General features: G+C 46.1%; 2 annotated features.

The window, feature by feature from the left end:
* Positions 1–502: an enhancer, noted in NCBI's record as "H3K4me1 hESC enhancer chr15:41888161-41888662 (GRCh37/hg19 assembly coordinates)". NCBI's record gives its function as "activates a minimal SCP1, AML or CMV promoter by ChIP-STARR-seq in primed H9 embryonic stem cells {active_cell/tissue: H9 hESC(primed)}" and the evidence as "EXISTENCE:reporter gene assay evidence [ECO:0000049][PMID:30033119]".
* Positions 10887–10996: a silencer, noted in NCBI's record as "silent region_6366". NCBI's record gives its function as "represses an Ori minimal core promoter by ATAC-STARR-seq in GM12878 lymphoblastoid cells {active_cell/tissue: GM12878}" and the evidence as "EXISTENCE:reporter gene assay evidence [ECO:0000049][PMID:35858748]".

Raw genomic sequence — 11217 nt, 5'->3', positions numbered from 1 at the left:
TCGAGGTGGCGTGGCTCACGGCTGTAATCCCAGCACCTTGGGAGGCTGAGGCAAGCAGATACCTCAGGTCAGGAGTTCGAGATCAGCCTGGCCAACATGGTGAAAACCCCATCACTATTAAAAATACAAAATTAGCCGAGTGTGGTGGTGCATACCTGTAATCCCAGCTACTCAGGAGGCTGAGGCAGGAGAATCGCTTGAACCTGGGAGGCGGAGGTTGCAGTGAGCTGAGATTACGCCATTGCACTCCATCTCAATAAATAACTAAATAATCTTCTCTCCAAACTGTCAGAGGCATTGCAACCAGGCTGGCTCCATCTTGAATAGGTACTGGGTAAAATGAGGCTGGGACCTACTAGACTGCATCCCCAGGAGCTTAGGAATTGTTAGTCATAGGTTGAGATAGGAGGCCAGCACAAGATACAGGTCACAAAGACCTTGCTGATAATAGCCAGGTGCGGTGGTTCACGCATGTAATCCCAGCACTTTGGGAGGCCGAGGCGGGCGGATCACAAGGTCAGGAGATCAAGACCATCCTGGACAACACGGTGAAACCCTGTGTCTAGTAAAATACAAAAAATTATCTGGGCGTGGTGGTACATACCTGTAGTCCCAGCTACTAGGGAAGTTGAGGCAGGGGAATTGCTTAAACCCAGGAGGCGGAGGTTGCAGTGAGCCGAGATCATGCCACTGCACTCCAGCCTGGCAACAGAGCAAGACTCCTTCTCAAAACAAAACAAAAAAAAAAAAAACAGCATGCAATAAAGAAGCCGGCCAAAAACCAACAAAACCATGATGGCAACGAAAGTGACCTCTGGTTGTCCTTACTGCTCATTATATGCTAATTGCAACATATTAGCATGCTAAAAGACACTCCCACCAGCACCATGCAAATGCCATAGCAATGCCCAGAGATTACCCTACACAGTCTAAAAGGGTCTAAACTCTCAATTCTGGGAACTCCCATCCCTTTCCCACAAAACTCCTGAATAATCCACCCCTTGTTCAGCATATAATCAAATAACCATAAGTCAGCCCATGCTGCTGATCTGTCTATGCAGTAGCCGTTCTCTTATTCCCTTTCTTTTTTTTTTTTTTTTTTTTTTTGAGACACAGTCTCACTCTGTCACCCAGGCTAGAGTGCAGTGGTGTGATCTCAGCTCACTGCAACCTCCTCCTCCCAGGTTCAAGAGATTCTCGTGCCTCAGCCACCCAAAGAGCTGAGATTACAGGTATGCGCCACCAACCCCAGCTAATTTTTGTATTTTTAGTAGAGTCAGAGTTTCGCTATGTTGACCAGGCTGGTCTCAAATGCCTGACCTCAAGTGATACGCTCACCTCGGCCTCCTAAAGTTCTGGGATTACAGGCATGAGCCACCTCACCAGGCCTATTCCTTTACTTTCTTAATAAACTTGCTTTCACTTTACTAAGGACTCACCCTGAATTCTTTCCTGGGCAAGCTCCAAGAACCCTCTCTTGGGGTCTAGATTTGGACTCCTTTCTGGTAACAAAGCCATTGTTATGAGGATTACATACGTTAATATTTAGAAAGCAATCAGAAAAACAAAATAGGCTGGGCATGGAGGATCACACCTGTAATCCCAGCACTTTGGGAGGCCGGGGCTGGTGGATGGCCTGAGACCAGGAGTTCAAGACCAGCCTGGGCAACGTGGCAAAACCCTGCCTCTACAAAAAATACAAAAACTTAGCTGGACATGGTGGCACATGCCTGTGGTCCCAGCTACTTGGGAAGCTGAGGTGGGAGGATCGCTTGAGCCCGGAGGCAGAGGTTGCAGTGAGATGTGATCATCCCACTACACTCCAACCTGGGTGACAGAATGAGACCCCATCTCAAACAAACAAACAAAAAAAGATGAGTATGTTTATTAAATAAGTTAAACAAAACATATAGCTTCGGGATTAAAAATAATAAAATGGGCTGGGCACGGTGGCTTACACCTGTAATCCCAGCTCTTTGGGAGACTGAGGTGGGCAGATCACAAGGTCAAGTGATCAAGACCATCCTGGCCAACATGGAGAAACCCCGTCTCTATTAAAAATACAAAAAATTAGCTGGGCGTGGTGGCGCGTGCCTATAGTCCCAACTACTCAGGAGGCTGAGGCAGGAGGATCGCTTGAACCCGGTAGGCGGAGGTTTCAGTGAGCCAAGATCGCGCCACTGCACTCCAGCCTGGCAACAGAGCTAGACTCCATCTCAATAATAATAATAATAAAATGTTCAAAGGTATAAGGAAAGCATCTGGTATGTTGTATATGCTTGAACAGAGTCTTAGGAACAATTATGTTACTGAAACCACCTTTGCAAAATTATGACTGAGACAGTGAAAGAGATCTAACTTAACTGACTTCATTTTGCTTTTAACCTCCAAGCTGTCCTTGTCCATTCCTGGGCATAGGCTGAACTAACTTTGGGAGAAGTTTAGTTTGTAGTTTATGGTTTAAACAAAGACGGTAACAGCCCTTTCCCAAAGCAGACCTCCTTCTTGCCTGGGGACTAGACTGCCTTTGTAGGACTAACATTAGTCACAAGATTAGAAATTATGGTTTAGGAGTCATGCAGCTGGAGGCTACAGGATTCTGACCCTCCCTAAACTGCTCCTAAGGTCACTGCTTGAGATATTTTGCAGACCCTGCACTTCATGGATCAGCTGGTCCCACTCAGATCAAAAACTGGCTCATCTGATCTTGTGGCCCCCACCCAGGAACTGACTGAGCTCAAGAAGACAGATCCAATTCCATATCATTTCACCTCTGACCAATCAGCACTCCTGGATCACTGGCTTCCCCCCACCGACCAAGTTATCCTTAAAAACTCTGCTCCCCCAATGCTGGGGAGACTGATTTGAGTAATAATAAAACTCCGGTCTCCCTCACAGCCAGCTCTGCGTGAATTACTCCTTATCCATTGCAATTCCTCTGTGTTGTAGCACTCGAATATAAAATTTTCTGTTTTTTAATTCTCAGCAAGGCAAGGTACTTCTATAGAAGGGTGCGCTCTCACCGATGGAGCAATGGTGGGCGCACATTTGGACAAGGGAGAAGAAGGGGTTCTTTTTTTTTTTTTTTTTTTTTTTTTTTTGAGACAGAGTTTCTGTCTGTCGCCCAGGCTGCTGGAGTGCAATGGCCAATCTGGGCTCACTGCTGCAAGCTCCGCCTCCCGGGTTCACGCCATTCTCCTGCCTCAGCCTCCCGAGTAGCTGGGACTACAGGCGCCCACCACCATGCCCGGCTAATTTTTTGTATTTTTAATAGAGACAGGGTTTCACCATGTTAGCCAGAATAGTCTCAATCTCCTGACCTCCTGATCCGCCTGCCTCTGCCTCCCAAAGCGCTGGGATTACACGCACATGGCCCCTGCTGCTGGGTCATTCCCCTATTGGCTAGTGTTAGACCGCACAGGCTAAACTAATTCCGATTGGCTAATTTAAAGAGAATGATGGGGTGAGCGCTTTGTAGCAGGTAACCGGAATGAGTTAGGGTGGAGCAGGTGATCAGAATGATTCAGGGTGGAGGTGATCAGAATGAGTTAGAGTGGAGTAGGTGATCAGAATGAGTCAGGGTGGAGTAGGTAATCGGGATGAGTCAGGGTAGAGTAGGTAATCACAAAAGGTTGCTTTACGAGGAAGTTAAGTTTAAAAGTAGAAGGCAAAGAATTGAACATACTGACATATTAATTCTTTGAAGAGAAATTTAGAATTCATATTCAACAACTTCCTCCTCTTGCAATTTTTTATGGCTTTCTCTTCAAACTTATTTAACATGTCTTGACTTAGTTGTTCTGCTTGATTTTCCAAAAGAAGCAGCTTCTCTGGATAAGGTGGAGGATAGTTAAGGGAGGTTTTAGTAAGTGCCATTTCTATGAGCCCCTGCACCAACCCAGGATGCATGGTATAACACAGCACCCGACAAGAATAAGTACACCTATTACAGCTACGAGGGAGGAAAGAATTGAGGCTATTATTCCTTTCCATTTACCAAACCACTTCTCTAGCCATCCCGTAAAGGGGTCATTTGCCCCTGAGTTGCTGGCTAACTCATTGGATAGAGCAGTCAGACCTTGCAATGCCTTTGTTATACTTCCATCAGGGGCGGTGTTGTTTGGGATGAAGGTGCAACATCGAGTTTTAATCATGACGCAAACTCCTCCTCTTTTTGCTAATATCATGTCTAAGGCTATCCTATTTTCCTAAGCCATCTGGCTAGTAGCCCCTAATTGCTCAGCTATTCCTTTAACAGCATCTCTAGTGTAGTTAATAAATCCCTGTTGGTTGTAATAGACGTAGTTTATCCAATCTACATTTTTGTTAACTGTCACTCACCAAAATATTGACTCAAATCCTGCAGCTATTTGATTTTGGGCCTTAAATTGATCTGGTATTCCCCATGGGACTCCAACTGTGTCTAAATAGATGTGAGAGTCGAAAGCATAAGGGGCTTCTCTCACTTTACAATGTCTTATTTTTTCTTCCTCTTATTGATGAAATGCCAGGGTAAAAGGGATAGCCAATTGGACTAAAGCACAAGTGCCACTCTAGTTATTCAGTAGAGTGTCCAGTAAAGGTCCACCACAATACCACCACACATCCACTCGGGGATGAACAAGGGCTGACTGATTGGTAAGCTCTTGAAAGTTCTTAAGCTCACTGCATCCCTTCAGGTCTCCAAGGAACGCTAAGTTTCCTCCCTGTCGTGAGAGACACGAAGTGAACTTAGTGTTGGGAGACCGAAGCTGGATGGCCCTCAGGGGCTGACCCACAGGGTGTGGAACTTCAGGATACAGCAGAGAGAGAGCTTGGCATGACTTGTTACCCCAGGCTGTAAAATCCTGGAAAAGAGCTACCATGCAGCCCATGCCCAGTCTGCTGGAGTACCACCCTAGTGGAAAGGGGACAATCTGCACCTCTGGCCTGCCACACGCACAAGCATAACAATTGCTTTTGTTTAACGTGCAGATGGAATATTTGATCCATTCCAACCAGGCATTTACATCTTGGTATCCTGTCTCGATTGCTAAAGTTTGTTTTAAGTCTTTAACTTCTACCATCGCTATCTTGGCCTTGTCGTTAGATGGAGGAGGAACAATGGTTCCATTGTAAGAGGTTTTAGAAAAAGCTTTAGAAGCAGGTTCAGGTGGTGGGGGATCAAAGAAACACATTTCAAAGAATCCAATAGGTCTGTCCCTGAAACCTCAGCTCCCATACCATAAAACCGGCTGAAAGAAGGGAACTGGCTTAGAAAAAGGGGAGAACTTTGGGGGCTCAAAATAATAACCTGTATAGGGTTGCACTGGTTTAGCTGACAGTTAGGGGGGGCTGTCCCTTTAGTAAAATGAATGTATGGTTTTAGGAAATTATAAAAACTGGTTGGGGCACTCCATCCTTGCTCTTTGGTGGTTCACAGAACATCGGACCAACTACGGCATAAAAGCTCTACATCAGTGGGGCAAGACTCCTGGTTGCCACTGGGGTCTTTATTGAAATCTCCCCGGATTAAATGGTCCCAATTCACTAATGCCCAGTCTGAGGAGAGCCAGGAGGGACAGAGGTACTTTTCTGAAGTAGAGAGCTGTCTTTGACTTAGCAAATCCCTACAGAGTATAACACGGCAAGCATCAAATGCAATAGTTTGAGGTGAACTTGACTTGGTTACGTTAATAACTAGATGGTCAGCAATAGAGCGAGGAAAGAAGAAAAAGTAATAGAATAGATGAAAGAGAGTTAAATTCTTCTTAGCTTTAGTTTGGTAGGGTTTTCCCCTAGGACTATGGCCCATGACTCTGGAGTCCATCCTCTCTCTGCGGTGTGGACTGCGGTTTCAGTCGCGAGGAGCACTAAGTAAGGACCTTCCCAGGCTGGCTCAAGTTTTTCCTCTTTCCAGCTCTTAATGAGGACATGATCCCCAGGCTGATGTTGATGCACCGGGAACTCCAAGGGTGGCGCCTGTGCTAAAAAACCTTTAGTTTTAAGAGAAGAGAAAGTAGAAGATACATCAAGTATATAATTTGTAAGGAATTGATTGGGTCTTTTGTTTCAAAGGTAGGAATATCAGTAGTGGAGTGCAAATAAGGTAATCCATAGAGCATCTCATAAGGAGAAAGACCAATGTCTTTCCGTGGTGCAGTTCGAATTCTCAGCAGGGTATAGGAAGACACTTGGTCCACGGCAACCAAGTCTCTAAGACTGATTTGGTTAGGTGGTTCTTTTGCATCTGATTCATTCTTTCTACTCTCCCTGATGAGGGTGGGTGCCAGGGAATATTGTGTTCCCATCTAATGTCTAATGTTTGGGATAGCTTTTTAATAATGTGTGCGGTGAAATGAGTTCCATTGTCTGAGTCAATATTTTCTATTAGTCCAAACCTAGGTACTATATTTTCAATTAGGGCCTTAACTACATTATTGGCTGTCGCATTTGAAAAGGGATAGCTTCAACCCAGTGAGTGAGGTGGTCTACTACTACTAGTAAATATTTCAGACGACCTATTGGAGGCATTTCTGTGTAATCAACTTGGATACTTTGGAATGGCCTTAAGCCCGGATTCCTTCTCTTGAGAGGTAATCTTTTTATAGTATGTCTATTAGTTTTCTTACATACTAAGCAACTATCTGTAACCTGTTTGGCCAGGGTATAAATTCCTATACAACCATAAACCCTGAGAACTGCATCACACATGGCCTGAGGCCCCCAATGGGTCCCTTGATGTAGTTGGGATAAGACTTCCCTTATAAGGGGTTTAGACAACATTTCTCTCTGGTCTGGCAGTATCCACTTTCCTTCTGAATTCTCTTTAGCACCTATTTTTATTAGTTTCTCTCTTTCAGTGGAAGAAAAAATGGGGATTACAGTAGGAGGAGGCAGGTAGGGAGTTAAGTGAAAAATATGCATTTCAGAAGACACAGCAGCCTGCTTGGCTACCTGATCTGCTAGGTTATTTCCTCAACTTTCAAAAGAAAGGTTTTTCTGGTGTCCGGGAACACGGACAATAGCTATTTCTTCTGGCAACTGAAGATTATTCAATACTTGGGTGATCAGCTCCTTGTGAACAAGGTCTTGACCTTTACTACTAATGAGACCTCTTTCAGTCCAAATTTTCCCAAACATATGGGCCACTACACAGGCATACTTGGAATCTGTATAGATGGTTCCTTCCTGGTTCTGTAAGTACTTTAAGGCTTGGCTGAGTGCAAATAGCTCACATGTTTGAGCAGACCAATTGTTGGCAATTTTCCAGATTCTATTTCTATGAGAATTTCTCCATCAATCACTGAATACCCATTGTGTCTTTTTCCCTCAATCACCCCGGAGGAACTGTCTATGAATAAGTGCCGTCCAGTCCGGAAGGGGGTTTCTCCTAGGTCTGGTCGAACCTTTGTATGGTAATCAATTAAATCTAAACATGTGTGTTCCCTCCATAGATTTGGATTCCCTGTTAGGAAACCTGCTGGGTTGAGTGAATTATCAGAGGTCAATGTTAAATCATCCTTTTCTAACAGAACGGCCTCATACTTCAAGATTCTCGAGTCGGTAAGCCATCTCCCTGCTCTCTGGTTTAAGATAGTTCTAACTTGGTGAGGCGTGCTTACCGTCAATTTTCCTCCAAAGGTTAACTTCCTGCTTTCCTCGACCAGTATTGCCGCAGCCCCGATGGACTGGATGCATTGAGGCCATCCACAAGTGACTGGGTCCAACACCTTTGATAGGAAGGCTACGGGCTGCCGGCGGCCTCTGTGTTCTTGAGTCAGCACTCCTAAAACTACCGCACTGTCCACATTAACAAAAAGGTGGAATGGCTTTTCTAGGGAGGGTAAGGCAGTTATGAGCCTTTCCTTCAGCTTCTAGACTTGATCAGCTTCCTCAGAAGTCCACAGGAGATGGTTCGGCTTCTCCTGGGCAAGTTTTTAATATAACAGTTTACTGTGCAGTGCATGAGTCAATCCATAAGCGGCAGTATCTGACTAACCCTAAAAATTTCCTGAGTTCTTATTTAGTTTGAGGCAAGGGTAGGGACACCATTCCCTCGATTCATTCAGGCCCTATTCTTCGCTTGTCTGCACTTATTAAGTGGCCTAAATATTTAACTTCGGGCTCTACATACTGAAGCTTTCTTTTTGAGACTCATAGCCCCTCAAACTGCAGATAGCTAAGAATATGTGTAGAGAAGTCAGTTACCTTCTCTATATCTTCACCAGATATAAGAATGTCGTCTACGTACTGAAGAAGGCATATTTGTTCTAGTATGACAACTTTTTCTAGTACCTGTTCTAAAATTTGGCCAAAAAGATTAGGAGAGTCTATGAACCGTCGGAGCAAGACCGTCCATCTCGATATTGCTGTTTCCGCCCTGAGTGGCGATCCTCCCATTCAAAAGCAAATATATTTCGGCTATCTTCAGCCAGGGGACATGCCCAAAAAGCATCCTTCAAATCTATTATGGTAAACCATTGATGATTACATGGAATTTTGCTAAGAACCGTGTAAGCATTGGGGACAATGGGGTTGGTAGTCTGGACTATTTGGTTGATAGCTCTAAGGTCCTGTAGTAGCTGGTATGACCCATCTGATTTCTTGACTGGCAGTATTGGGGTGTTATAAGGGGACATACAGGGCTCGAGAAGCCCATCCTTAATAAGGTCTTTGATTATAGGTTTCAACCCTATCCTACCTTCTAGGGGAATAGGGATTGCTTCCTTCTTACTACTTCTCCTGGGGTTTTTAGCTTGATGTGGATCGGAGGGACTTGGAATTTCCCTCGGTTTCCTTTTTTGGACCAGACATTAGGATTAATATATTTTTCATCGGCAGTGGTGAGTAGATTTAATGAGGTGAGGAATCCTCTTGGGCTGACTTGTAGACCTATGCCCAACTTTAACATTAAATCCCTCCCCAGTAAATTAGTTCCTGCTTAGGGGATTAACAAGAACTGAATATAAGCTGAGCGATCAAAATTTATCAATTTATCAAAAAGGTTGTGATAAGTTGGTTCTGTCTAGGCAGGAGGCAAGGTGAACACCTTGGGCGGTTACATTACTGGAAAGGAGTCCCAGTCCAGATCCCAAGAGAGGGTTCCTGGATCTTGCAAAAGAGAATTCAGAGCGAGATCATAAAGTGAAAACAAGTTTATAAGGAAAGTAAAGGAATAAAAGAATGGCTACTCCATAGACAAAACAGCCCCAAGGGCTTCTGGTTGCCCATTTTTATGGTTAGTTCTTGATGATATGCTAAACACGGGGTGGATTATTCATGCCTCTCCTTTTTAGACCATATAGGGTAACTTCTGATGTTGCCATAGCATTTGTAAGCTGTCATGGTGCTGGTGGGAGTGTAGCAGTGAGGACGACCAGAGGTCACTCTCATCGCCATCTTGGTTTTGGTGGGTTTTAGCCGGTTTTTTTACTGCAACTTGTTTTATCAACAAGGTCTGGCCGGCGCAGTGGCTCATGCCTATAATCCCAGCACTTTGGGAGGCTGAGGCCGGAGGATCACCTGACGTCAGGGGTTCAAGACCAGCCTGGCCAACATGGTAAAACCCTGCCTCTACAAAAATACAAAAATTAGCCGGGCCTGATGGTGGATGCCTGTAATCCCAGCTACTCGGGAAGCTGAGGCGGGAGAATCTCTTGAACCCAGGAAGCAGAGGTTGCAGTGAGCCGAGATTGCGCCACTGCACTCCAGTCTGGGCAACTGAGTGACAGAGTGAGACTCCATCTCAAAAACAAACAAACAAAAAACAAGGTATTTATGACCTGTATCTCGTGCTGACCTCCTATCTCATCCTGTGATTAAGAATGCCTTAACTTACTGGGAATGCAGCCCAGCAGGTCTTACCTTTTTTTTTTTTTTTTTTTTTTTTTTTTAAGACAGAGTCTCCCTCTGTCACCCAGGCTGGAGTTCAGTGGCATGATTTCAGCTCACTACAACCTCCACCTTCCAGGTTCAAGAGATTCTCCTGCCTCAGCTTCCCGACTAGCTGGGACTACAGGCGTTCACCACCATGCCTGGCTAATTTTTGTATTTTTAGTAGAGACGGGGTTTCACCATATTGGCCAGGCTGGTCTTGAACTCTTGACCTCAGGTGATCCGCCCGCCTCGGCCTCCCAAAGTGCTGGGAGACCGAGACACAAGAATCGCTTGAACCAGGGAGGTGGAGGTTGCAGTGAGCCGACAGCCACTGCACTCTAGCCTGGGCGACAGAGCGAGACTCTGTCTCAAAAAAAAAGAAAAGAAAAGAAAAGAAATTTTAAATAGTTTAAGGATCACATGTATTGTTTTCATCCACGTTATATGTTGTTATATACATTTCATTTTAATAAAGGGTTATTTCTGTCAACCTTAAAAAATATATTGAGGGAAAGTTTGTTTGTTGAATGGTAATGATTACCAAACATTCTGTGGTTTTTGGCTTTAGGGATTCCCTCGGACTCTTCATCTTCGTTTTGCCCCGTAGGCATTTGCTGACTTTGTTGGCATGTGGCATCCCACAGCTCCCAGCCCCACCACTAGGGCCTTTTCCACTTCGGCCACGTGGCCCCACCCACCTAGCTCTCATCTCCCTTCCAGGGCGCTTACTGTCTGTAGAGCGTCTTAGCTTTCTTCTCTGTTTTTCCTTAGTTTTCTTGACAAACAGGCAACGCTTTCGTCGTTTCCAAGAGCGTGAGCCCCTAGGGCGTAAAAACGGGAGGCTCACGGTTCTTTGCTATTACTCTGGGCCAAGTCAATACTTGTGGAATTAACTTTTACCACCAGAGGAGGCAAACTCAAAGACAGCTTTAACGAAAGAAGCGCGGGCATTCCGCGACGATGGAGTGTTCTCGGGCACCCTTGGGAGGATGGATCCCGTAGACCCGGAGCTGCCGGGCTCCCGCTCCGTGCGCGTCTGTCCCCGTCCCTGCAGGGGCCCCGCGCCCACGGGCCGCCACCGCCTGCGCCCGCCGCGCTCCTCCCCGCGGCCTGCAGGGCGCCGGCTCTGTCCGCAGCTGGGGCCCTTCTGCGCCGCGGACAAAGGCGCTGGTGTCCCGCCGGCCAGGCCAAGCCTTTCCCTGCCCGCCGCCGAGCGGCCTCGGCCAAGCCCCGGCGGGGCAAACCGGCTCGTGACCGCGCGTGTGACGCCCGCGTGTGGCCCCGCTCTCGAGTGGGCCGCAGAGGTGAGGATTCGTCCCGCGGGCCCAGCCCGCCTAGCGCGAGCCTCTCTGGCCGGAG

This window comes from Homo sapiens, chromosome 15 (assembly GCF_000001405.40).
Source record: "Homo sapiens chromosome 15, GRCh38.p14 Primary Assembly".
Classification (NCBI taxonomy): domain Eukaryota; kingdom Metazoa; phylum Chordata; class Mammalia; order Primates; family Hominidae; genus Homo; species Homo sapiens.
The sequence above is the reverse complement of the archived record's forward strand: the minus strand, read 5'-3'. Positions and strand labels throughout refer to the sequence as shown.